Source organism: Homo sapiens, chromosome 1 (assembly GCF_000001405.40).
Source record: "Homo sapiens chromosome 1, GRCh38.p14 Primary Assembly".
NCBI lineage: Eukaryota > Metazoa > Chordata > Mammalia > Primates > Hominidae > Homo > Homo sapiens.
The window spans coordinates 225400841-225428835 of NC_000001.11; the positions used below are offsets into that span (position 1 = coordinate 225400841).

General features: G+C 41.7%; 1 protein-coding gene across 7 annotated transcripts, besides 5 other annotated features; it reads right to left on the reverse strand.

Moving 5' to 3' along the window:
- LBR (lamin B receptor) lies at nt 662–27981 on the reverse strand. Of its 7 annotated transcripts, none has more exons than NM_194442.3 (14): nt 27866–27981; nt 23071–23249; nt 21237–21437; nt 18875–18958; nt 18423–18612; nt 17144–17340; nt 14438–14492; nt 11614–11805; nt 10497–10600; nt 9451–9576; nt 5824–5992; nt 3786–3866; nt 3564–3686; nt 662–2623 (listed from the first exon to the last, which is right to left on the reverse strand). In NM_194442.3, exons 2-14 carry the CDS (start codon nt 23233–23235, stop codon nt 2463–2465), a joined length of 1848 nt encoding a protein of 615 aa, NP_919424.1. In that variant the 5' UTR covers nt 23236–23249; nt 27866–27981; the 3' UTR covers nt 662–2462. The 7 variants fall into 7 exon arrangements, with proteins under 7 accessions (NP_919424.1, NP_002287.2, XP_011542487.1 ...); NM_002296.4 differs by lacking the exon at nt 27866–27981 and adding an exon at nt 27114–27198; XM_011544185.4 differs by lacking the exon at nt 27866–27981 and adding an exon at nt 26491–27052.
- Nucleotides 13611–13780: an enhancer, noted in NCBI's record as "experimental_5491 CRE fragment used in MPRA reporter constructs". NCBI's record gives its function as "activates a minimal promoter by MPRAs in K562 erythroleukemia cells, with activity observed for the non-introgressed 1:225602238 variant allele {active_cell/tissue: K562}" and the evidence as "EXISTENCE:reporter gene assay evidence [ECO:0000049][PMID:34662402]".
- Nucleotides 25608–26280: an enhancer, noted in NCBI's record as "H3K27ac hESC enhancer chr1:225614150-225614822 (GRCh37/hg19 assembly coordinates)". NCBI's record gives its function as "activates a minimal SCP1, AML or CMV promoter by ChIP-STARR-seq in primed H9 embryonic stem cells {active_cell/tissue: H9 hESC(primed)}" and the evidence as "EXISTENCE:reporter gene assay evidence [ECO:0000049][PMID:30033119]".
- Nucleotides 26281–26952: an enhancer, noted in NCBI's record as "H3K27ac hESC enhancer chr1:225614823-225615494 (GRCh37/hg19 assembly coordinates)". NCBI's record gives its function as "activates a minimal SCP1, AML or CMV promoter by ChIP-STARR-seq in primed H9 embryonic stem cells {active_cell/tissue: H9 hESC(primed)}" and the evidence as "EXISTENCE:reporter gene assay evidence [ECO:0000049][PMID:30033119]".
- Nucleotides 26281–27614: a biological region, named in NCBI's record as "H3K27ac hESC enhancer GRCh37_chr1:225614823-225615494".
- Nucleotides 26785–27614: a silencer, noted in NCBI's record as "silent region_1856". NCBI's record gives its function as "represses an Ori minimal core promoter by ATAC-STARR-seq in GM12878 lymphoblastoid cells {active_cell/tissue: GM12878}" and the evidence as "EXISTENCE:reporter gene assay evidence [ECO:0000049][PMID:35858748]".

A 27995-nucleotide genomic window follows, 5' to 3' on the forward strand; every position in this document is an offset into this window, starting at 1 on the left:
AGGAAACTGTACCATCTATATTTAAGTAAATTGCACCTAGAAACACTCCACCTTGTATCTTTTGTTAAAATCCTATATTTCATCATTTGCTCCAAACAGTGCAAAACTAAACACCAAAATATAAATCGTATACTTGGTATTGGTGCATATTCTGACACACCCACATTTTGCAATGTAATGTCACAATGTAACGTCGCAGCAGGAAGAATTGAGAGGTGAAGCTGTCTGATCTCATCTCACAATTCAGGCTTAGAGTCAACTGGAAATCCAAACAAGCACTAAAGCACGGTCAGCAGGCACAGTACATGTGTGTGTCTCGTGTGTCTCTCACACACGTACTGTCTTTCAAATGCACAGATGCTTCTGTGATTCATACAAATGCATTTGAAAGTATGACTGGATCTACAATAGTTTTAGCATTTCTGTATTTTCTCAAACAGCAAATACTAAACACATGACCATTTTCTGGGAGTTAGGATTCCCAACTAACCCCTTTGAGTTCCAACATTCTGAGAGTTTTAAACAGCAGTTGGCCAGGGGTCCCAAACAGATGATCCTAGGAAAACAGGAGGCTGGGCAGGGGTGGGAATCTAAGGGCTCCTGTCTTGGTCCCAAAAATCTCAGTTTCAAGCAAGAAAGGGAAAAAAAAAAGGCTCCAAAGTGATCAAAATGTTGCTACATTTTATTTTCAACTTAAAACTTCATTATAAAATTTGCCAAATAAACATGTCAAAAACAAACTTAAAAACAAAGTGTAGCTGATATCCAGAAATTGCAGCACTGTATTGATAAAGGGCTCTTTTCATTACCAGGGAAAGAATTTAATGTCCTTCCTTCCTCCCCAAAAGCTTCCTTGGTGCAATCCAGTACAGAAAACGCCACCACTTTCTGATGCCAGGAGAAAAGCAAAATAAAAAAACTGCTTGCACACATTAGCACTGATAAAACAATGACAATTTCACTAAAAGAATGTTTAAAGACTACCGGATGCTGGAGCAAACCAACTTCATGACTGCATTAACATAAGCTAAGTTACATACACTTCAAATGCAGTATAGAATTAACACTGCATATCTAAATGGCTCATATATAAAATGTGTAATTAAAACCCAAACATACACACTATGTTTATTACATTCCCCTACATTGAAAGTACTGAGAACAATTTAACTCTGAACACAAAAGTTTAGTGAATTTGCTACTGTTCCATTACAGGACAATTAAAAATGAGACTATATCAACTTCACTAGAATTTAATTGCTAAAGCTACCTTATGCACATCTATTAAACTAAAAGAAACGACTTTAACCCCTTCAGTTGTTTTTAAGACAGCACTCCTTTACAGGGAGTCAGGTTTGGTAAATATAAAGGATACATAAAAAATACAGTATAAACTGCATAAGCTTAACAGTAGCAAAAACACTGATGAACTTTTAAAAAGTCAAAAATATATAAAAATATTAGCCTGAAATGGCAAATTTTCAAACACCGATCTGTGTAAAAATGTTTAAATATTGATGTTACTCCAAAAATATATACTTATTCTATTTTTTTTCTATTTGCAACAGTTTATAAAGGCAAACAAACACCTGCAATTGAGGTAGCAAAGCCAAATTCACAAACTTTGGATCAAGAAAAATACCCTTCCTATGTTTTAACAGCATCTTCTATACAATAGTGAATGAATTCTAATTGTTCCAAAATTTTTAATTCACATTACTTTACAAAATTTTATTTAAAATACTGAAAATGTTTTGTTAAAAAGACAGTTAGTCCTGACAATCATCTCACATTCAAAATACTGTACAAAAAAATCTGAAGTCACCATATATTACAAAAAACTAAGCTATGTATTTACATTTTCAATGTAGTTTTAGAAGTTGAGGTTAAGCCAACTGCTACAAATGGTCTCCTTTAAGCAGTGTCTGCTAATAATGTCATCACTTTTCACTTTCAGCATTTAATATAGGCCCTTCTTTTTGCTTTCAAATTATATAATTAGTAAAGGATTTAAAGAAAAACAAATGAAAATTCTATTCTCTTACTGAATAAAACATAAATGTACTTTAAATGGAACAGTGTTTTCATTTAAGAAAAGCCAACTGGCAAAAAAACATCAAAATTTGAAAAGTAATCAGAAACCATAAACATCAATAGCATTCTTCACAGTACATTTATATTAAGACTGTCTTCTGTTTTCAGATTAAGGGTTGAAAATTTCCCATTAAAATGCAAATTCTCACATCCTTACTTGTATTTTTCCTATGTTAACTGTAAGTTAATACAAGTAAACACGGCTATATTAAAAGATCAACTACTCGGCTCCATAGTCCTGACTCAAAAAGAAAAAAAAAAGTACAGACCCTGTCAGTGCAACAAAAGAAAGTTTCGGATTTTTTTCCTTGTTTTTGCAAATGGCAGCTGGAATTGCAGGAGTATTTTGTAGAAAAGCCAGAAGAGCATTAGTAGATGTATGGAAATATACGGTAGGGCACACGCTGACAGTACTTTTCCCAAGCCACGCCGTATTTCTTCTTACAGTGGTACTCGTCACGAGCTTCTCGGTGGACAAGCAACATGGTGAAATAAATTATGTAGAAATAAGGCAGAATGTGGTTAAAACCTGTGGATAATAATAGTACACAGTATTAGATATTTTTATTATCACTACAATGTATTTTTTCCTGCTTTCCCCCAAATTCTCTAAAAATGGAACCACAAGGTACTTCATTTTCTCTAATAATGATGAGAATAATTAAACAAGTCTGTAAAATCCCACTGGAAAGTGGCAGAAGGTCGTATCTAAATTAGAAGCTACTCAAAGACTGATGAATCCATTCTAACAATCCATCACAATCAAAACATCTGTCCTCATAGTTAATACACATCTCTTCATTTCTCGCCCTTCTTCCCCCAGCAAAGAAGAAAAACTGCTGTCTTCCACCACAGGCTGGGCCACCAAACAGGCAGCAGGCACGGGCCAGCTCCTCCACCTCCACCAGCTCCCCTGGATCCCCCTGCTCCCCCAGTTCCCCCAGCTCCCCCAGCTTCCCAAGATCCCCCTGCTCCCCCAGTTCCCCCAGCTCCCCTGGCTCCACCAGTACCTCCAGCTCCCCCTGACACCCCAGCTCCCCAAGCACCTCCAGCTCCCACAGCTCTCCCTGCTCCCCTGCTTTCCCAGCTCCCCACGAGGCCAGACACACAAAAAGAAAAACAGAATCTCTTTCTCTTCTTAAAAACCAAAGTTTTTCCCAATCTATGTACACTGAATCATGAATTAAGAAGCTGAATTAATTTCTATATATTCTACTTAGAAAAAAGCTATCAGGCACAGCTGAAAACTTAAAATAGTGCTTTTAGGCTTAAAGTAAAACTTCAGGCTCTGTGAATTCCCAATTCCCCTCAGAAGCCAGAGGAGCTTCTACAGAGGCCAACCTCACAGTAGAAAAGGGCGACAAAAAGACTCACACCCACCTTGGCCACACTGTCCCACACAAAGGACACACACACACATCTTTCTGGCGGCTAAAAGGGTCAAACTAGCACTCTTCTGAAATGCTTACCACATGGGAGGGACCACGCCAAGGCCATGATGAGATCACCCAAGTAATTGGGGTGGCGAACAAAGCCCCACCATCCAGAAACTAGAAGATTTTTTCCCGTTGAAGTATGAATGGTTTTTAAATCTATATAAAAATAAAAGTACATTTTTAATGATGTCGAGACAAAAAGAAAAATAAAACCTTCATGTAATATATATAATATAAACATAAATCAATACTTACGTGCAAGCTTTGGATCACTGGGATTTTTCCGGAATGCATTTTTCTGAGAATTTGCACCTCGGAAGATTACATAACCACAAACTGCAATTTTAAAATATTTTCCTATGTTAATAACTTAGTTATACTCTAATGCTTAATAGCATCTGTAATTTCTCTTAAAAATGATTTCTATGCTCTGAGGAAATTTCCAAAGCAGACTCCTAGGCTCAAGAGATCCTCCTGCTTCAGCCTCCCAAAGTGCTGGGATTACAGGCATGAGCCACCGCACCTGGCCTGATTCTTAAGAACAACTCAAAACCTCTAAATCCCACTATGTAAAAAGATGGTAACCCGTCCGAAATCTATCACACTACTTTAATCATCCACCTAGGAAACGCTCTGAAGGCAAAACAAATATAGTTACATCCATGAAAGAGATAAAATCTAAGATAGCCTACATTACAATAAAATCAATACTAGAGTTCAGTGTAATCAAAATTACAAGCTATATCATCTGTTAGTTATACCTACTGGCCATGGCACAAACATTTTATTATCAAACACTAGCTTAGAATCAGCACCAAAACATCCTGCACTTTAAATACATGCTGAATCCCACTTTAAGTCTATAAGTTCCTAATTTTATCCAAATTTCAGAATGTCAAAAATCAATCTATCACTGACATTTAACTATTATATAGTCGATCCTCAATAAACTAGTAAGAGAATAACTTTACTTCCTGCTTTGGTTTGAATGTGTTCTCCAAAGTTCACGTGTTGGAAACGTAATCCTCAATGCAACAGTGTGGAGAGGTAGCACCTTTAAGAGATGATTAGGTCATGAGGGTTCTGCCCTCATGGACAGATTAATGTGGCTATCACAGGAGTGGGCTCAGTATCTCGAGTGGGTTTGTTATAAAAGTATGTTCAGCCCCTCTTGCTCTTCCTCACTCTCTCTTGCCCTCCCTCACTCTCTCTTGTCCTTCCACCTTCCACCCTGGGATGCTGCAGCAGAAGGGGTCTTGCCAGATTCCAGCACCATGCTCTTTGACTTCCTGGCCTCCAGAACCATGAGCCAAATAAATTTCATGACAAATTACCTAGTCTCAGCTATTCTGTTCGAGCAGCACAAAACAAACTAAGACATTCCCCATTTTTAGCTGAACTATAAAATACACTGTCTTGAATAATAAAATGGATGACATGGACATCCAAACCACTGGTGAAACTAAATCTTAATTTTAACCAATGGTTTGAACTTCTTCTACCACAGATACTAACTTGTGTAGCAAAACTATCTGTATTTGCAGTTCACTGCTAATTTTCCCTGCCCAACCTCTAGTATAAGTGTTTAGTGAACAGTGTAAGAACAATGAAAATTCATCCTGAAGTAAAATCCATGACTGACCCTGGTGGACCGCAGCTGCAGCCAAACTGGACTTCTCAGTCTTTCCCAACCTCATCTCACACTTCCCCACCACACACCCTTGCTGAGCTGTTCCCAGTGCCTGACTTTTCGATCTCCCCATCCCATTTTCCCCTCTAAAACTCCAATCGAACACCATATCCTCCGATAAGTTCACACTAACGCTCCCCAGAGAGAAGTTCTCTCTATCTTTAACACCCGTCATCTAAGCCCCTCTTAGTGCTCACTCACACACCTCACAGCAAGGCAGGAATGTCTTATTTCTCCTGTTAGAATGTGAGCTCTATGAAGGCAAGACAAATCTTCTTACTTTATAAGATGCCTACCAGAAAAAGCAGGCACTCAAGAGAAAAGACGTATGGTTACCAAAACGAATTAAAACAACTTAAATTTATTAAATTTAAAAGCAAGATGGTTTAAAATAATCTGTTTCAAGTACTACTGAGAACCCAAGTACGAACCATCCATTCTCTTTGCAAAATGCAGATTTTTTATTACTCATGATAAATGGCTTCAAACTGAGCTAATGCTGGCCATTCAAAATGGCATGTTTCAAGTATGTAGACAGCAGGGCATAAAAGCCTCAGTACATAATATTTAATAAATTAAACTGAGACTAAAATTAATACTCACGTTTCAGAACAATAATTAGAGAAGCCATTGGCCAAGACACTTCATTTGGATGACTGACTAAATAAAAGGCTTGGAAGCTGTAAATAAAGGGAACCCACACCAAGTCTCCAAAAGCCAGCATGAATCCAAATCCATCGTGGATGATGTCCATGGTCGTCAACAACGCTTCCTATAAGGATACAGACGGGGAAAGGGAGAAGGAGCTTCTGTGTTTAAAGTATTCAAATAAAGTACTAGTTTACAGGCAAATGTAAAAAGTGCTATGGGCGGGTCCACAATCAACATTTTTTTGTTAAAGGGGAGAGAGATCTGGTTCCCCTGGCCTGCTAGGTCTTTCTGCTGTCACATTCTCCCGTCACGCCAGCCTCTCGCTCATGCTCTGGAGATAACAGATCTCTAAAGCATCTCCCATGCCCCCATGCCCAGGCCCTCCCCTCTGCTGACAACCCCTCCTCCAACCTCCACATAGGCCCTACACCCTCTGCTGCCCTCCTGACCTGCTGCTCAGACCTGGGCACTTCTCAGATATCACCACCCACCAGTAGGCTGCAGTAATTGGGTTACTGTACTTGTCTAGTCACTCTTCACTACACTAAAAGCCTCTAAAAGACAGAGGCTGTGTGTTTTCACCTTTGCCACCCCAGTACCTAGCACAGTGCCCGCCATGGAGAGAAGTGTTCAAAATATGCTTGCTGAAGGAATAAGATCACCAACTCTTTTTGTTTCAATTCCACATGGACCAATCTAATTTCTGTTCATAATCTGGCATTTCATGTGCATTTTCCACAGAAGAAATTAAGCTGCCTGGCAACATGGTGAACTGACAGCTTCGCTTCTCATGTAAATTAATAAAAGTGCATTACTCCCTGGTGATTTGGTTAGCATGAGCCAGATCGCCTCTGGCCCAGGATACGGGCAGGCCAGACTCTAGAATACGGAACCACCACCAAGGTCAACACTCTGAAGGTCTGGCCTAAGGGAATCTCTAAACTACCCAGAACCTCAGTACAGACCACTGATGTAGAAATATTAGCCAGTATAAGCTCTGTTGGAGAATCAAAGTTCTAGGTTAAAGAAAAAGAGTGGTACCTCTAAATAGCATTTTTTTCCAGAAAAGAAAGCAAATAGGCCATGGAACAGAAAAACAGATGTCACATGAAACAGAAAAACCAATCTCACAAAATCTAGCTCCTTAGGCTTATACTCTTTAGTTAACCAGAGTACTTTATTCTCTTTAAAAAAAAAAATTGACATGTAATAATCGTACATATTTATGGGGTACACAGTGATGTTGCAATACATGTAATATATAGTAATCCAATCAAGGTAATTAGCATATCCATCATCTCAAACACATTCTTTCTTTGTGTTAGGAATATTCAATATCCTTCTAGCTATTTGAAACTATGTATCACTGTTAACTATAGTCATCCTACAGTGGTATAGAATACTAGAACTTAGAACTTACTCCTCCTATCGAGTGGTAATTTTGTATCCTTTAACAAACCTCTCCCTATCCTTCCCTTCCCCCTACCCTTCCCACCTTCCCATATCCTCTGTTCTACTTTATACTTCTATGACATCAACTTTTTTAGCGCCCACATATAAGTGAGGACACACGGTGTTTTAACTTTCTGTCCCCAAGAGTGTCTTATTCTTCTCTCTCAAGGCCTGTGATCTGATTCCTGGTCCAAAAGAGGATAAAGGTGACAAATTGGTGGGAGCAGATAAAAGCAGGTGTGGTGAGTGGCAGTGAGAGGGCAAAGGGTAAGCACCCAATGCCGGGTAGGGGGAGGACCTTAGCCCCACCAGCTCCTGAGCCCCAAGGCTTTCACAGGACGGCTCAGAGGAAGGGTCATGCATATTTAAACAGGTAGTCTCAGTTTTCTTAAGGTATAGCACATTCTTGAATACAGAGGGATTTCTATCAAGTGACCTGACAGAAGTTATTAAGCATCTGCTAATTGCCCAGTGGCATGCCAGAATGCTGAAGAAATCATAAAATACAATCTTTCCTCAAGAAGCTTATTATCATCTGGCTGAGATACTGAGAACAGACAGAAAACAATTTCCTAACTCTAGTTCTCTACCCCTGGGGCTATGTTAATATTGCATTAAGCGTTTTGCCTTAAGATGCAAAAAATTTTCTTTTAACACAAGTCAATGTTTGGCTAAATCTATAGAAAATATCAACTTCTAAGCCAATTAAAAAGTGACAACCACAACATGGCAGAAAGCTAGTAATAGAAGAAACCAGAAGAAATAATCACTGATCAGTGGAAAGCTACTAGAAAGGAAGGTTTAAAGAAGCCTCTGAGGTGAGCACAACTGTGAAATATCATTTGATTTGCAAACTGTAACCTATATGCTCTTTTGGCGATTCATTCTATAACAGCAAACAAAGCTACACTGGTAACAGTAAGTGCATTTACAAAACAGTTGTTTTTTAATTTCAAAAACATGTTTAATTTTGGGTCGACGTGGAATTTTTAAAGTCAATTTGAAGTGTTATCACCACCTTCACAGCTTCCCAAGCTCTGAGCCAGGGTCTGTGAAGTGGTAGGAGCGCAACAGGAACCCGTAATTAGCGGATAGCACTAATCCCACCGCTTGTAATTGAGGTTTACCTCAAAGTGGCCCTAATCTTCCTAAATAACAAGGAGATCATCGAAACACCAATATCAAACTTGCGAAGTTGTTCTGACTAAATGTTCTCTGCAATTTTGCATAGAAGGCCAAAATTAAAGACCAGCCAGCAGGGGTGGGGGAGATACATAGTATTGATGACCAAATAATATAATTTTTTTTAATGTTCCAGGCTCAAAGAGAAAAGGTCTTCTCTCAAAATGTCAGCAGATTGTCTCAACAGACTGTCACTAAAACTTGTTTTGGAACATTATGATGTACAGCTGCCAGATTTGTTTTTAATATGGAAAGAAAACTAGAGTTGGAATTTGGAGATAATTACAAAGATAACAGTAAATACGATAAAATACTTGTAAAATAAGCCTGAGGAAGACAAAATTTTTAAAAGGAATATGCTGGCTGAGACAGAGAAAACAAACAAAACATTTACCAGTCTTCAACTAGTAGAAAGACTAATCAATGTATGAAAAAAGACACAAGATGGAAACTTAGCCTTATTTCAACTGGTTTCCTCAATGCATCTTGATTTCTGATTTTACATTCATCTAATTAGAGCTAGTCTTTGTATTTTAAAACATTAACAATAAAACATCTCCCCCATTATTTAAAAACTAGGTGACTCTTGACAGTCCAAGAAACACCATTCTAATTTAGTAATAATCCATCCATTTTCATGTGATACCATAATTACCACCACCCACAAAAACAAAACCAAGATCCACCAATCTTAAATATTTAGAATATTACTTTTAAACACAAGAACAGCTGATAAACACTGAAGCACTCCCAAATGCCTAGAAACTTCCCACCTGTCAGTGCTCCCTCGTCAGCTTCACATGGATGGCCTCGTCCTCCTCTCAAGCAGCCTTGGAGGCAGGCCATGCTCCCCTCACTTTGTGTGCAAGAAGCCGAGGCTCTGACAGGTCACTCACCCACTCAAAGCCATCTGACTCCAAGGCCTCGGCTCTTAAAATTAATTACCTCATTCCAGAGAGCATCCACCACATAGAGAAGCTGGAAACTATTAACTAAAATCATGGCCAAGGATGGAACAGCGCGGTCCTGTATTTTCATTTCAGCCAAAAGCATCACCAAGTTAATAACCACCTGAAACAAAAGGGGAAAGTATATAGCCTCAAAGCACCTCCCCAGAGACCTTAGCACTACAAAGGCATGAGTGAGCTTCACAGCTGAGACACCTGGCAGACGCCACCGTAACTCCTACCCGCCACCAGGAATAAGACATCTCAGCACCATGGGCCCCTGGACCCAATGCACTGAGAAGGACACAGCTATCATTTCTGTGTTCCTGTCACAGTGGGTAACTTTACCGCAATCAAAGAGAACACTGGAATGACCCAAACTGAGGGACACTTACAAAATAACCAACCAGTACCTTCCAAAAAGTATCAAGGTCATGAGAGACAAGGAAAGCCTAAACAACTATTAGACTAGAGAAGACTAAGAAGGAATAACAACTAAATGTATTGTGGAGTCCTGTCGAGGTTCCTGGAACAGAAAAAGGACAACAGCGGAAAAACTGGTGAACTCGACTGAGGCCTGTGGACTTGGTAACCAATGCTGTCACTATGTTAATCTGCTGTTCTTCATCACTACACTACGGTTTCCTCCAAGGTTAATGTTGTGAGAAACAGAATGAAGGGTGGAAGGGAACTCTTTGCTCTCTATCTGCAACTCCAAGCCTAAAACTAGGTAAAATTTAAAAAGGAGGAAAATGCATTTTTTCTTACATTAATTCATCCACACTATCACTTTCCTACATAAATATAAACTGATATAATAAAAATAAAGCAAAGAAAAGTTATTTAATTTGTCATAACCTGTAACAGGGCATCTTAAACCTCTGGAAAATACTTACAAGAAAGTATTTTGATAGATTTATGGAAAGCCATAATTATCCCTAAAAATATACCACCCACTGCTTATTTTTGAATGGTCTACATTTCTTTCTAGCAGTTAATTAGACCTATTGAATTGAAATTTAGAAGAAAAAAAACCAGACATACCCATCCAATCAATCCGGGGCGCAATTCACAAAAGTATTTGAGATCAAAAGTACCAATTCGAGGGTTTAATTCACGGCCAATGAAGAAATCATAGACAGCATTTCCTGAGAAAGGAAAAGTGTTTACCCAAACAGCATTCCAAACCCAGTCAGGAGGCTTTACAACGGCACTGCCGCCCACTATCCAGGCTCACAATTCCACTGCCTGCAAGACCCTGAGCAGGGCTCTGGTGGTGAGAGGCAGACAGGACGGCACAGACGAGCGGAACCAGGAGATGCCTGCCCGACTGAAAAGGCAGTTGCTCCAGCCTTTGGGGGAGCCGGGGGCCCAGGTTTCTTAAAAAAGTTAACCAAAATCATGGGGGCCCCCCCAAAGGACTTTACACTCCATTTTTTTTAGATAGGCGACATTTTTTTATATTGAAATACTTCAGGTCAGCATCAACCAATTTGTAACCTCTCGTTTCTCTTGTTTTTTGTTTGTTTTGTTTTGAGATGGAGCCTCGCTCTGTGGCCCAGGCTACAGTGCAGTGGCACAGTCTCGGCTCACTGCAACCTCCGCCTCCCACGCTCAAGCGATTCTCTTGCCTCAGCCTCCCGAGTAGATGGGATTATAGGTGTGCACCACCACGCCCAGCTGATTTTTGTATTTTTAGTAGAGATGGGGTTTCACCATATTGGCCAGGCTGGTCTCAAACTCCTGACCTCAGGTGATCCACCCGCCTTGGCCTCCCGAAGTGCTGGGATTACAGGCATGAGCCACCTCACCCGGCCAGTAACCTCTGTTGTTTTTTGTTTTTTAAAGAGTGTTTACTATTTTGGACAAAGAAATAATATTTGTCATAAGTCAAAATGCCTGTAAGTTTACTAAACGTCTTACTGTCATCAAGCAACTGCAAAAAAAAGAAATGAGTAAGAAAGTATGAAGGTAAAACAAAAATATTTTCTTCCTTTAAATTCATATCTCTTTAACGTTTTTCTTCATCTTTTCATTTTTTCTTACTTCTCTTCATTTCCCAAAAATGAAGTTAGAAAAAAAGCAATCTATTCAAATCTGGAAATGGCTGCTGGAGGGCTCTGGGACGCATTCATCCAACATGCAATTCATCACTGCTCACCAGAGCTGGCAGGCGACAGGTCATTCCGGGGCGCTTTCAAAGAGCGCATGTAGAGATACACACTCAAGACCACACAAAAAACAGTGGCCGCAAGTGCAAACTGAAGAAAATGACTGTACACGTAATGAAACTCTACGCCCTGGAAGAGAGATGTTCCGATGACTGCAGATGTCAGGATAAAAGCATAGAATCCTTTAAAAAAAAAAAAAAAAGGAAGTGGAAAATTAATATTAACCCAAGGCTCACATGAAACTTACGCCACTATGAAACAATGCAATGTTCATTTTTAAAGTCTTAATTTCATTATTCAGACTAAATACACACAAATATGCAAATAAGCAATGTCTGAGGTATAATTTTCAATATACATACCATTATCTCTTGTAGAACTTTCCAAATAGTTTAACATATTGATTCTTTTTCAGTTCAAATGGTCATTATTTGCTTTTAATTAAGGGAAAACAGACAAGAAGTGCAACCTGAAAATTCCCACAATCCAAACTCTCAGGCACAAAGTCAAATGGCTAATTATTAACAGAGCTGGGCCAAACACATATTTTAAAGTCTAATGCCATTACCTAAGGGGAGGGTATTATGCACCTACCAGGGGTCAGGCACCGAGCCAGGTTGGTAGTTACAAAATTATAAATATTTATACTTAACCAAGTTGCCAATAATGGTTTCAAAAGATTCTAGTAAAACTCTATCATCCAGAACAGAGATCTTAACATGCCACCCGCAGAAAAGATGCCACAACACAAATGCCCGAGGCTAGGCAGGGGACTGCGAGTACCTGGGGGGTAGGGACAGCAGGCGGGGACATTCACGTGCAATGCCAAGTTAAAAAGCACCCGCCCTGTGACGCTCCACAGAACTCTCGTTCCGGGCTAGTCCTGCAGCCACACAGAAAGGCTCACTGGAAGATCCAATTTTTTTCTTTTGGCTAAAGAAATAGTTTTGCTTTCAAAGGAGCTGAGTGCCTCAAAGAGCTGTGATCCTAAAAAGTCATCAAATCCATTTGGATAAACGGTCAAAAGCAAAAAAGAGGTAGCTGTTATTTATATGAGAATTCTAAAACCAAACCTTTTGTAAAGTAAAATAGTTGTCTCAAATTATCTGAATCCACATTTTCCACAAATACTCCAAACAATAACTTCTAAATTCTGACTTTTGAAAATATTCATTTACCTTTCATAAAATGTAATTTTAAAAAAGAATGGTTAGATAAAGCAGTCTTTTGCTCTCTAGCCTATGTGGATTAAAAATAATCATCCAAAATGTCTTAGGAACCTCCTTAGTTAATAATCGTAAAATCTCGAAAAGAAATCTCAATACTTGAACCAGAGTAATTAGATGAGGAAATTTTTAAAAAGGATCAAGCAACTTGGCCAGCCACTCCCCCACTGGCTCCAAGAGCTCCATGTCCAAGTGCTGTGCTCAGTCTCTGAATGTACCACACCCCTCAGAGGGAAGTGAAAATATAACACAAGACTACTTAGAAAAGAATTGGTACCTACAGAGAAACACACAAAACACTGAAATCAAAGGACCTGGCGGCAAAGTCAACAACCCACCTCACCCCAGACTCACCTTCCCTGGTGTGGTAAGTGAACCACCAGAGGGAGGGAGGGTGCCAAAGGTTCTAAAACTTGCTCCATCAGCAAAGAATTTGGTAAAAGCAACAAAAAGTCTAACAATACCAATGATAAGTATTAAGCACCCACCAGGGGTCAGACTCTGGAGCTGGGGGAGACGTTTTATCACATGACTGGCACTAAAAGGCAGAAGGTGTCTAAACTATCTTTGGCTTCCCCTTTAGAACCCAGTGGAGTGACTGCAGACAGAGTAGATGCTGCGTAAGTCTCTAAACAAAGTATCCAAAGTTAAAAAATGAAGAATTGAAAGGATAAAAAGTTCAACCATTACAATACATAATGTAATTCTCAAGAAAAGGAAAACACTCTACTCCGTCTTGTCAAATGGAAAATCATTCAAGGATGACTACAAAATAGATCTGTACTTTGCCAAAGTCTTCAAATGACAAAGCTGGACTGAAGCACTCAGCACATGCTCTTACAGTGCGAGATGCCGGACCCACAGGGAGCAAGGTCTATCCATTTATTGAGCTGCCCAGCAAGCTCACAACTCATCCATCCAGCACTCACATATGAATGAGCACCCACTACATGCCCATCTTCCTAGCACCAAGAGTGTCACAATGAACATAGCCAAGTCCTAGCCCATGAAGCCACATTCTAGTGGAGAGACCCTAATGAAGAGACAAATACACTGATGTGTGGAGGCACAAATGTCAGACAGAAAAACAAAACAGAGCAGGGGAGAGAAAGGGACCTGAAGGCTTCTCTCAGCAGAAGACAGATGGAGGTGAAGATGCAGGTGTCAGACGTTTGGGGGTAAGTTCTCCAGGCAAAGGCCCAGGAAGTGTGTGTGACGAATATTCAAGGGACAACCCAGAGGACATGAGCAAGGACAAGAGCAGCTCACGCAGCAGGAGTGGCCTGGATGCCCACATCCGTGTAACACCTCAGGTGATAAAATCCTAGACAAGTGCAATGATTTCTAACAGTGATGAGCACTATTAAGAAAATAAAACTGGAGAGTGGACAAGAGTGACTAAGAGGCTATGTTACTTTAATGGCATAATTTATACAAGTTGGCTACAGGTATAAACAGTTGCTCTTCCAACTACTAAGAAATAATTTATCACTTACTACTCTGGTCTAATCAGCTTTAACAAAGAGTTTAACACTTAGAAGTTTAAGCTATCAAATCATCAATTTGAGTCTTAAAAAAAGAAAATCACCATTTAATCTATACTTGAGTCTTCTTCCATCAATAAGAGGCGTTCCTTCTACAACCTTAAAAGAAAAAAAATTTACAAATTTACTAAGCACATCACCATCATATATACATATATACACACACACATATATATATTCTAGTATCACTTAATTTTCAACACGCCCAAGAAGGAAGATATCTTGTAACATGGAAATTTAGTAATATGTTTCAAAAACCCTAGTGGCAAGCCCTTTAATGACGCAATTCCACCTTCAGGAATTTATCTTAAATACAAATTCAGTAATGACTTCCTAGTGTAGGACCAAGCAACTGCAACAGCCACGCTCCCTGCCACACTCCTGTGTACCACCACCTCAAGACTAAATGTGCTTAAATACCTTTATATCTAGTGGATCCCTAGCTCAAACATCTACCAATGGCTACCATACTCTTACAAAGTAACAGTATGATTCCATTGTCTTCCATTTGTGGGGTCCTTTTCAATTGGGCTCTACCCTGTTTATCCACTCTACTATGACCCAAGTGCTATTTGATGACGCATACTCATATGCTTACTTGCTCTGCTATATATTATATATATATTGCCCATCCAGTTATTTAACCATTTCATGTGATTCTTTTATCTGCAATAAGAGACTGTGAGAAACCAGGTGTGGTGACTCATGCCTGTAATCCCAGCACTTTGAGAGGTCAAGGTGGGAGGATCACTTGAGTCCAGGAGTTGGAGACCAGCCTGGGCAACATGGTGAAATCCCCTCTCTACAAAAATACAAAATACAAAAACTAGCCAAGCCTGGTGGCACGCGCCTGTGGTCCCAGCTACTCGGGAGGCTGAAGTGGGAAGATGACTTCAGCCCAGGAGGAGGTTGCAGATTGCACCACTGCACTCCAGCCTGGGCAACAGAGCAAGACCCTGTCTCAAGAAAAAAAAAAAAAAAGAGAGAGAGAGAGAGAGACTGTGAGCACGCATCATGCATCAGAACCATCTCCTCTCTTCATTCGGCATCACTCACAGCATTCAGCACAGAGATACCCACAGGCATGGTACCCAATAGAACTGGCTCAGTAAAAAGTCCACTTGCTCAATGCAGCCACGTTTTACCCCACAAAATAACTATTCAGAAATGTAGCAATTCATTTCAAACTGTAAAATATAAATATAGTATCATTTGCTCTGGGCTAAACTACTTTATCTTATCATTAGCTACAGATTTCATTAGCTAGCATTCCTCCTCTCCCAAGAGAAACGTAAAAGCTGTTTGAGATCACAGGATTAGTAAAATGCCACATGCTAATTTCAGATGATCCTTATCTATTAAAGGAGTCTAGTAAATGCTGTGTTAGGCTTTAATCTGTGAATATATAGATCCAAATATACAGTCAGCCCTCCGTATCGACGGGATCCACATCCATGGATTCAACCAACCAGATCCAAAATATTTCGGAAAAAATTGCATCTGAGCTGAATATGTACAGACTTCTTTTTCTTGTCCTTATTCCCTAATACAGTATGATAACTATTTACATGGCACTTACGTTGTATTAGGTATTATAAGCAACCTAAAGGCAACAAAGTATACAAGGAAGATGCACACAGGTTATATGCAAATACTATACTATTTCTTATCAGGGCCTTCAGCATCCTCAGATTTTGGTATGTACAGGAGGTCCTGGAACCACTCCCCAAGGATATCAAGGGATGACTGCATAATATTAATATATATTTTAATATATATGCTTTTAGTCACTTTAGTCTATGAGTATATACATATATGACTTTAAACACCAAAACTGCTTTCCTTGATACTCTGAAATCACCTTACCCTAAATGAATCTGAATTTAACTGTAGAGGCTTACTGTAGAAATGACTGAAGGTCTTTATCACAAAAATCCTTGCTAGAGCCACTAAAGTTATGGTCTCACTCCACAGTATTAAGCCTGCAGCTCTACCCTCCTATCACTGGCATTCACCAGTAAAACCGATCCTTTGGTTTACAGACAGTTGGCAAACTTGCAAAGCCCTAAGAATAAGATCTTTAAATAAATTATTTATTACTTAGGGAATCTCATGTTTCTTTAAATATATCCAAGTAAAGGATTCTACTGAAAGAAGAAAAAACTACACTTAGCAATGGAGAGACAAATTTTAAAGATATTGCAGGAATCTGAAAACAACGTAAAATGTTCTTGACAACAAGCTTCTGAAAGAGATGAAAATTAGAAACTTTTCATACTTTTTTAAAGTAAAAGATGTAGACTAAAGTCCATCGAGCCCAGTAGCCTATCAATTAATCATTTAAAATGCTGCATCTGAAATGACACATACTAAGAGTGAATTTTTTTTCCATAGCAACCTCCACTGAGAGTCGGCTACTTTGCAAAATAGCCTATTCTTTTCTATTTGGTTTGAAAAGTTACACAAGAAATCTCAATCAGATTTTTTTTTAAGTTCCTCCTAATAAGCAAGTGTTATACAGACAGCACAAGAGAAATGGCTTCATGAACTAAGTTTTGGGAATTATGACCAACAACAGCCTTTAACCTTTAAACTACTCTAAGGCTGGGCAGCATGGCACAGGCCTGTGGTCCCAGCGACTCAGGAGGCTGCGGCAAGAGGATCACTTGATCCCAGAAATTGGAGACCCGCCTGGACAATATAGTGAGACCTCATCTTATTAAAACAAAACAGAATTACCATAAACGTACCTTTCCAATTGGCAGTAGGTAGAACAGGACTTGAATCAAAAACCACAGGAGGTAGACCCCAAATACTCTGGTTTCCCATAACTCATACAAAGCTGGCAAAGGAGGAGGGAAATTCAGAAGACTGGGATCTTTCTGTTTACACATCAACAGCAACAGGAAGAGGAACACAGGCAGGCCAAACATGATGAGAAACACACCTGCAAACAATTCATGAACATTCGAGGCTCAAATTTCAATCTGGTTTATTTATTTAAGAATCATGTTAGATTTGTTAAGATCAGAACTCGTTATCTGGCTAACTGTCTGAAACCAATTTCTAATGTACCATCAAAAACTCCCATCTCTACCTGTCACCTCTGGTGGCCTGGCAACCATGGGCATCAAAGTAGTAAAAAAAATAAATAAATAAAAATAAAAAAAAAAAGAAAGAGGTCCAACATTGAATAGCTACACCCACCTCAGAAACCAAGCTCTAAAACATTTGACCTCCAACCACTAAGGAGCGAATGTGTTGAAACTCCAGCAAACTGAAGATCAGAACATCTAAAAATTATCAGCCTAATCTTAACAAAAAACTTTATATTCCTCAGTTTCTAACAATTAAAATAGTGTCACGTTCATGTAATGTGTGCAGATTTTAAGTGATGCTGGACAGCATCTGTAACAGGCCAGCTAGCCAAAGGTTATAACAAAATACAAAGCAATTAAGCCATGCAGGATTTTGAGCCATTTAGACAAGAAGTCTTTTCTTTTACTAGCTCATAAAATTTCATCAGTTCCACCCACTTAGTAACTCCAAAACTCTGCACACTTCAGATCTTTGACCCTCACAATCAACCCGCCTAGCAGGTAGGGCAGCCTCCGGGATCCCATTTTATGCAGGCAGCTGAGGCCCACTGCTGGCCCCTGCCGCCTCAGGTCTGACTATTAGCAGAGCTCTCTGTCCCTGATAAGTAACCATCTATGCTATACAAACTCCCAGATCAACCTTCCTTTATCACTTCTTTGTACTTCTGTGCTCAAAACCTCTGAACAGACTGCTAAAAGTTTTAAACACAGCTACAATGGCATCCTTTCTACTCCATAATCCCTCAAAATGCTCCCACCTCAAGCCTTTGCACCCACTGTTCCTTCTCTGGAAGGCTCTTCCACAGGTTCCCACCAGGCTCATTACCTTGCCTGCCTCAGATGTCTTCAGAGAGGCCTTTCCAGTTCACCTTGTGGCAACCACCCCTAGCTCACCCCACCTGCCCTCTCTGGGCCCAGCTCTGAGGCCTACCAGGTACTCCTCCAAACTCCAAGTCCTTTGCCCGGATGGGGGTCACTTCAAAGGTTCTCACTGCCAGTTCTTTTGCAACGTATTTTTCTTCCTTAGAATCTATTTCTTTTAATTTGACTTCTTCTCTTCTTGGACGAAGGCTATACTGTGTTGCTATGTAACTGCTTTCTTGTGACAAACTGAATTTTTCCTAAATGAAAAATTTAAAAATTAAATATCTGCAGTGAACAATTACCATTAATGCTACTGCATTAACTATTTCAGCATCTCAATACAGCTATACACTAGTAAGAATAAATTTGTGAAATTATATTCAGTCTTAATTTAAGGACAGAATTTTAGAACAGGTTATAAAATATTACAATTTTCAATGTGCTTCTCAAGGGAGAGTCACTTTTAACCAAAAAAAAGAAAAAAAAAAACAACCAAGATGAAAGGGAACACTTTCCCACCTGTGTATTTTTATGAGGTGCGTCATTTCTCTCAATATGCTCAGGCTCCCCATTATATCTGCTGATGCTATTTCCAAATGGCTTCTAAATTGAAGAATATAAACATTTAATCAAAAGAACTGTAACTTATTAAAAAGAAACATGATGGTAAAAACTTACTGTTTTGGAATCAAGCAATAAAACAGATTTTTCACAGCCTTAATTCTGACGAATTTAACCCTCATTTTGTTAAAAATGAAAAGGAATAAAACTGACTAGAATTTCCCAGTCTCTGAAATATTGGATAGATTTCTACATAAAATCTTTCATCTGGCCAGGCACGGTGGCTCACACCTGTAATCCCAGCACTTTGGGAGGCCAAGGCGGGTGGATCACCTGAGGTCAGGAGTTCAAGACCAGCCTGGCCAACATGGTGAAACCCTGTCTCTACTAAAAATACAAAAAAATTAGCCACGCACGGTAGCGGGCACCTGTAATTCCAGCTACTTCGGAAGCTGAGGCAGGAAAATCTCTTGAACCCGGAGACGGAGGTTGCATTGAGCCAAGACCGCGCCATTGCACTCCAGCCTGGGCAACAAGAATGAAACTCCGCCTCAAAAAAAAAAAAAACAACTTTGATCTTTCACGTAATCAGACTGAATGTCATAATTTCATTGATAGATTTTAGGGGTATTTACTATGAAAGGCAGAGAAAGTAAAAATTGGTAAATTAGTTCATTAACTGGATAAAAAACAAAAGACATTCAAAAAGACATTCACTGCTCCAAAATAGCCCATAATGGAAAACTAAGAAATAGTGGGTACTTATGCAACACACAGTAGGCCCAAGGCACTACCAGGTAAGAGGCAAAGCTTCTGTGGTTCTTGTGACACCAGGACTGTAAGATTACACTGTAAAAATATAGCAGTCACTAAATATTAAAAATGAAAGGATAACAAAGTATCACACAGCATCTGTTCCTGGAGTCCCGGGGTGGTAAAGAGAGCCACTAATAGTTAAAATGTTCTAATTCAAAATATAAGTTAGAACAGTAAGTTGAAAATGTCTGACAGCCACATTCTCCAAAAAAAAAAAAAAAAATTATAATACTCAGAATGAGAAACTGAGCATTCATACACTGATACTACTATAAACTTTCTTGATGCAATCTGGCAATATGTATTAAAAGCCTCAAATCTGCACCATACAGCTGACCTAGCAGTTCCACTTGTAAGAATCCATCCTAAGGAAATAATCAGATGTTACATAAAAATACTTGTTTGTAATAGTGAAAATATGGAAGGAAAAACACTAAATGTCTATCATTGACAGAGCTGACTTTAACGATTAAGTTACATGTATACAATTTACCATATATCCATACTATAGAATACAACAACAAAAATGATGTAGAAAAATACACTCTGAAAGGTTATCCCAATATTTTAAAATGTCTTAAAGCTGACTACTGAGCAGTATGTATATAATCCAGTTTTTAAAGTTTATTAAAAGTCTGTTGCCGGGCGCAGTGGCTCACGCCTGTAATCCCAGCACTTTGGGAGGCCGAGGCGGGTGGATCACGAGGTCAGGAAATCGAGACCATCCTGGCTAACACGGTGAAACCCTGTCTCTACTAAAAATACAAAAAATCAGCCAGGCATGGTGGTGGGCGCCTGTAGTCCCAGCTACTCGGTAGGCTGAGGCAGGAGAATGGCGTGAACCCAGGAGGCGGAGCTTGCAGTGAGCTGAGATTGCGCCACTGCGCTCCAGCCTGGGTGACAGAGCAAGACTCTGTCTCAAAGTCTGTGTGCCTTCTATCCAGAAAAGAGGTTAACATTAAGTGAATAGAAGATTACTTTTATTCTTTTTACTTAACATACTTTGTCTTTGGTCTACTATCTAAAATACTATTTGTACAAGATCTACAGGCTCCATGCACCCTGATATTTCAAAGCTTACATCTTGAAAGTAATTCCACTAAAATCATCTTTGAATAGGTAAAGTGATAAAGTATAATGATGCTAAGAGTAAGAATGTTTCCGTAATACAGGTTTGTCTTACCATTTCATACATGATATGAACTTTTATACACTGTAAAAACCTTACGCAGTTCAATCTACAAGCTACATCTATTTCAAATTTGAACGCTGCTTTTTTAAAAACTAAAATATTAAATAGCATTTCTGGTAACTGAAGGACATTCTTTTCCATTGATATTTAAAACTTTCTATTCCAAACATTTGTTTTATATGAAAACTCCCAAAGTCATCAACTTAGATTTGATGTTTCAGTGACATTTTAATATTATTAACTGCAAGTAACTTGAGTAAATATATACATAAAGCGGAAGACAAAAGGCTGTATAAGGATAAACACAAGTACCAGAATCAGCGGAGTCAATTTAACTTCCACTTCCCTCCTTGCTTCCTTAATGTCGGCCTGGTGGGAAGCAGAAGCAGATCGGCGGGCACTTTTAGGTGGTCGACCAGGGGATCGGGAGCGTGACCTTGATCGACTCCCTCGGCGTCTGGAAGGGGAACTGGAAGTTGAGCCACCTTTCCTTTGCCTAAAGGAAGTTAAAGGCTAGAAAGGGGGAAGAAGGCAAAGAGCTTTACCACAAATCATAACACATACAGACAGACCCACACTAGAAGAGGATAACAAAGGCAGGAACTGCTACCATTAACTCTAAAATCAGCACGGGAAATGTTAGGATCTGAGAATGGATCAGATGAAGCCAATGGAAAATGCTTTCATAATGATCCATCTTTCATGAGACAAATGCAGCCTTTCCATTCCTGTTCTTTGAAGGTATTTCCATGAAACGAATGTATCTAAACCAATTAGCTGTACTTATTTCCAACACCATATGCAAGAAGGGTAATAATTAACATGGATTAAAACTGAGACGACAGGACAAAATAAATAAGCACACAGACCAAAAAAAAAAAAACAGTACCACAGTTTCACTCTGAACAAAACACATAAGCAGATCTTGAAAATAAAACATGAGCTTGGATGACTGGGAACTGTTTCACTGTGTCCCCACCTACTCCGAATCTCCTTATGTTGCTTCTAGGGATGTAGACAAATTACGCCCCAGGCCAAGTCCCTCACCCCAATTTTTGTGTGGCCTTCCTACTAAGAATGGCTTTTACATTCTTAAATGATTACAAACAAAATCAAAAGAACAGTATTTCCTGAAGTGTGAAAATTATCCAAAATTCAAATTTCACTGTCCATAAAGTTGTACTGGAACACTGCCATGTCTGCTCCCTTCCATACTGCCTGGAGCCGCTCCCATAAAGTCTAAAATATTTACTTTCTGTGCTTTATTCCTGGTCTAGAGCACTCGAAGTGTCATCCTCAGCCATGGGTCCTAGAAATGCTCGTTACTAATCTGTGCAAGTACCAAAATTGAGAAATAGGTGTATGGAAATGTTTATAGCATTTTGACAAAGTAATCTCATATCTATCGAATCTGATAGTAAAACTGTGAGTCGTCTATTGTGTATGTCTTTATTTTTCTAGTAACTCATTTTTATGGCATTTTATATAAATGTTTGTATACTACGGATCAGATATCTTAAAACCCAGGCCCTCACCAGACAGGTTGAAAAGCCCTGGGCTAGACTCGAATCTAATTAATGTCACTCTCCTGATTAAATCCTTGGTGTTCAGGATGAAGCCCAAACCCTTGGGCATGGAATATAAAAGCCCCCCCAGCCTGGCTCCTGCTTAGCCCTCCCCTACCACCCCCTTCCAGCACTTGGCTGACTGTGTCCCCCAGACCCCTGACTTTGGCATACTGCCCTCTCTGCAGAAACAGCCCCATCAACTGCTGTTTTTCCTGTTTGTTCTCAGCACTTGGCTAGGTGTCACTGCCTCTGAAAGCCTCCCCTGAAGCCCAGGGCTCTTCTCTACCCTTGATACACTCAACACCACCCACAGCAAACTCCAGACACAGAACGTAGTAAACCCAGGGGACCAACAGATGCAAATGGCTGTCTTTCCCAGTAAGTGTGAGCTTCTTGGGAACAAGGACTATGCCTCATTCATACATTCCCAGAGCCAAAAACAGTATGTGACCCAAAGCAAGAGCTCAATCCTCTGCCTTCAAACCGAGCTGAACTGACTATCCTGAGCTTAGAAACCATACTTAGAGTTATTTCCCACTTACTGTAAACACACTCTGATAAACCAAAGGAGCTCTTACCTTAATATCATTCTCTTTCAATTCAAGCTCTGTTCCATCTTTATACTTCACAGTGTAAAGCTGGGAGGTGCTGTCGTGGCTCAGAATTTCTACTTCATAATAAAGTGAACTCCCAGGCCATCGACCTCTTACCACTTCACCATCGGCAAATTTCCTACTTGGCATTTTCTATAATTAACCTGAATAGTTTTAAAGAAAAAAATTTGAGTCAATACATACACATTTATGTATTCGTCTTTTTCCACAGGCTGATCACTAAAATACAACTTTCCAGAATTGACTGGTCAGGATTTTAGGGCCAGAAAGGCTACATTCAATCTCATTTGGAATCATTTGAGAGGATGATTTAGCCACTGCGTTATCTATGTGACACTAAAGATTAATTATAACAATGTATATAGGCGCCATAAGTTCACACTATGTAAAATGTTACCCACCTACCGTGATCACAGTTCTCGCTAATCAAAAAATGAGGCACAATCTCACAAAGAACACATTTTCTCATTTGTAAATTTGCGTATCAATTTACAATGGCTTTAAAAATGCATTTAATTGTATTTTTAACAAATTGCCTTTATTAAAAACAGCAAACTATAAACCAGACTGGGAAAATCAAGGATGTACAATTAACATGACTATAACCCAACAATAGGAAGAAAAATAATTCCAAGTCTGTAATGAATAAATTTGGGGGTTATTTAGCTTTCAACTCTTACAGCTAAAGTACAAATGCATACCAAGTAACTCTGCCAACCACCCACCTAAGCCAGGGTGGTTGCCTTCATCCAAGCTCACTTCTCTCAAGCCTACAGCAGCCATCAACCCCCAATTATAACATTCTTTTCCTCTGATTCAAAACATGGCCCACAAGCCCCACAATACTCTAGGAATCCACAAGCAATCTGCAAGAACTGCCACTTACGTGAGGCCTGTCTGCCACCCTTTTTGAAATATCAATTGATAGCTGGGTACTTCCAGCTGCCAGACAGTAATGCCGCTCCATCGGCTGACCAGCGGAATCACATTTCCACACAACAAAACCAGGGCTGCCGACCTTCCCCAGTACCACATGAACTAGCTGGGGCCACGTCCAAGGGGCAGCCAGTAGGACAGATATGAGCTGTCTCCCAAATCACCTTCATTTCACCAACTAAGCACTTCTTGATGTATTGTCCAAGCCTATCAATGTACATTCCTCACTGGCTCCTGTTAAGAGCTGATGATACAATAAAAGCAACATTTAGGAACCTTTGAAGACTCTGGAATTAAGGAGAAAGTTGAATTACCTACCCCAAGGGAGTAGTGGGAGAGTGGGGGGGGAGGCGGGGTGAGGGAGGCCTTTCTTAACCACCACATTTTTTCACTGTTAATCGTCTGTGAAAAAACTTAACAAGCTCTACTAGTTTACAGAGATGGCAGCTAGGTTGGTAGATGAAAGAAAACACAAGTACTTATCTGGTGATTAGAGGATGTCAGTCAATTAACACATTAGGTAAGAGAGGCAGCTTTCTTCCCTACACCTACCTGAGATTGGGCATCACTGGGGTAATGAATGGGTTTGGGCTTGGAGTAGTGGGGAGGAGCCCACAAGTTTTCGGGATGAAGTCAGGCCTGGCTGAGTCACCCGAGGGGCACTTAGGGAGCAGGGGGGCAGTGAACACCTCTGCATGAGCAGGGGCATAAAAACGGAAGGTGACAACATCCAGCTTTGCCTATTTCAACATTTAGCTCAGAGCCTCCAAGTACAAAGAAAGAGGAAGGAAATGTACCCTCCTTCTCTCTTCTCTTGAGCCCCCTCCTCCTCCCTAGGCCCCCCAAAATCAAACCACTCTTACTAGTACTAGCTCTCCTACACTGGTCAGCCAGAGTTAAAAGAAGGCAATTATGTCTTCCTACAGGAAGATGCTCAAGTTGCAAAAAACTCTTTATAAACTTTTGAAACACAAGCCCTTCAGGACGCAGGGGCTACTTGAGGTTTTAAAAGACCCTTGAACAGTTTCTGCGTGTTCTTAAAAACTTATTTACTGGCATCTTTCCATTGCACTTACACACCACATACACAGTATCTGTGTAATATAAACGCAGGCCAGTGCCAAAAAGATTCTTATCAATTATTCTGGGTTAAACAAGTTAACACATATGGTGGATACCTGTTAGGTCTCTAAAGCTTACTTTTTAAAAGAAGAATTAAGATTTGCTTGAAAAACAAACAAAATGAACCGGCATTCTTCTTAGAAGACCATTATCTTATACACAAATGTTCCAAAAGATGAAGCCAACAACATGATGTGCACCCCCACTTTACACAAGATCCACACACAATTGTCAAACGTGAGGATACAGTGCAATCACATCCTAATATATTCCCCCACAGGAGTGAAATAGCCAGGATGGCACACAAAAGCCCCACATTTGTTCGTGTCACTCACTATGCACTCACCTACAGGAGTCAAGATACACACAGGATTTTCTTACAAGAGATGTTTTAGGCAAGTGTGTTTGTAAAGAAAAATTTTGTTCACTGCACCCAATGTCCTCATTCGCCATAAACAGGAAAAACACGGAGACCCTCAGGTTTTTCTCTATTAAGCCAGATGCCCGCTAACTTCAGAGTCAACTGGCACTGCAATCCTCACACATTCCAGCTCCGGTATGTTACTGTTTGTGAACACAACAATTCTCTGCTCATTAACATTACAGGGGTCTCCAGCCATCTTTCCTTCACTTCTCCAAATTCATCTAAACGTGGCATAGAGCAAGACGCTCGAATGACGTTGGACAGCTTCCTTTTCACACCTGAGCCCCGGTAGCCCCACTAGGCAAAATGCAAACAGGAACCCCGGGCCTTGCTCCGCGCCCTTTGCTTCATGAAGCAACAGAAAGGCCACCTTCCTGGCTGTAAAGGCAGAAGCGCCTTCTTCCCCATAAACATCCTTGGGCAGCTCATCATTCCCCTCCTGCTCGTTCTTCTCCCTCTTCCCAGGCAGCCTGAGAAACAAAACTTAAACTGGACTTGTTGCCTAATCTAAATTAGGATCCCTCTGCTCTTCTCCGTAGCTCCATCTTCTCCCACACACCAGTTACTACAATGCGTAACTACAGATCTACACGTGTTTACGTGCAAGGTCCCCGGGGGCCTGTTCACCCTGGCACTGCCCAGGCGCCGCGCCTCGCGCTGCAGGTGTCCACGCGCGGACCACGGTATCTACCGCGCCCTCGTGTGAACACCCGACCGGGCCCCGTAATCACTCTGGGAAAGCGCCTTCAACAAAGCCCTCCGAAAGCAAGTGCTTTACTAAGTGCCCCTTGAGGCTACTGGCAGTGCGAGGCTGGCTGTCATTAGAACATTTTTCTGAACCCTCAAAAAGGTGAAAAAGCAGGACCGTGCTTTAGCAGGAACACGCACACCCGCCTAAATACCCGATTTTTGAGACTGTCCGGGCGAAGGAATTCAACGCATAGGAGCGAGCAGCCATGCAGTGTGCCTGGAGAATCACCAAACCGCGACGACCACGACCCTCAAAGCCAGTGACAAGCAGCGCGAATCTAAGCCCACCTCGGCCGCAGACCCTTCCCCGTCCCGCCAGGCCGCCGCGCCCTGTCAGCCTCCTACTGCAGGACCGCGGGGCCGCCTGCTCATCTGTCAGACGGGCGCTCGGAGGGGCCGGGAGCCAGGCTGCGGTGGGGCAGGACAAAGGCGCCCACGAACCCTCCCTGCCGCCGCCGCTCCACAGCCGCGCCGCGCCGCCAACATGGAGGGAAACGTCCGCAGTTTAAAACCCCCAGCTCCATTTCCGCAGCGGGCCCGGCTCGGGCGAGCTCCAGCCTCGCCCGCCGCCGCCCCGACCACCCGACTGGGCCAGAAAAGGCGAGGAGGGGAGGAGACGAGGAGGCGAGGAGAGGAGGGGAAGGCCGCCGCGCCAGGCCCCGCGCCCAGGGTCCCCGGCCCGGCCGCTGCGCCGGCCTCGGGCTTCCTCCCCCAGCGGCCCCTCGAAGAACGCGCCGCGGGGAGCTGGGAGCAGGGCGGGGGTGGAAGCACTCACCTGCGCCAGGTTCCGGCGGTGACACGGACGGCTCCCGGAGAATAGTCGCACAGCAACCCGGCGGCAGATCCACGCGCGCGACGCTACCCGGCCGCGCTCTCGCGCCCCGCAGTCCCGCAAGCCGGGCGCGCGCCTCCCCGGCCCCGCCTCGCGGCGCTTCTCCCCTCCCCTCGCCTCCCCTCCCCACCGGCGAGGCCGCCCGGGGCTCCCATTGGCTCCTCGACCTTTTGAATCATCCCCGGCGCTGTCGATTGGTCGCGCGCCGTGGCGCGTCCGCCCCGCCCCACCCTGCCTGGGGGCGGGGAGGCCGGTGAGCGGGGGAAACCGAGTCTGGCGGGGCGGCCCGGAGCGCGACGTTTGCCACCGCCTTATCTCAGCCGCCCAGGCGCCCTCGCAGCACACGGAGCCCGCGCGCTCCCGCCCTTTCCCTCCCAGCGCTCGCAGCAGTGTTTGGGGTGCCAGGTGGCTTGGCGAACGAGATTTTTTTTTAAGCTACAAAGAAAACTAATACATTCTTGAAGTGATCACCAAAGATCCGAGCTCGAAAGCGTTTCTCGGTAAAACACTATGAGTGCCCTCCTTAGCGTGTTAAAATCCCACAGAAGCCCCTGGACCAAGCAGCGGCATCGAAGGCGAGCAGGGGCGCTTTTGTGTCCGCGGCCGCTGAACCTGCGTAGAAGCGAACCCGGACCGATGCTGGGACCGGCGGCGGGAGGGAGGGGGAAGAATGGCCGAGGGCTCCTACGACTTACGCTGCGAGGAGGGGCTCGGTTGTTACCCGAGATGCTGTCGAGATGCAGTAGAAAATCCCCAACACCGCGGAGCGTGGAACAAGAAGTTTTATGCGTTACACACCGAAACACAACTTGACCTGCAACCTAC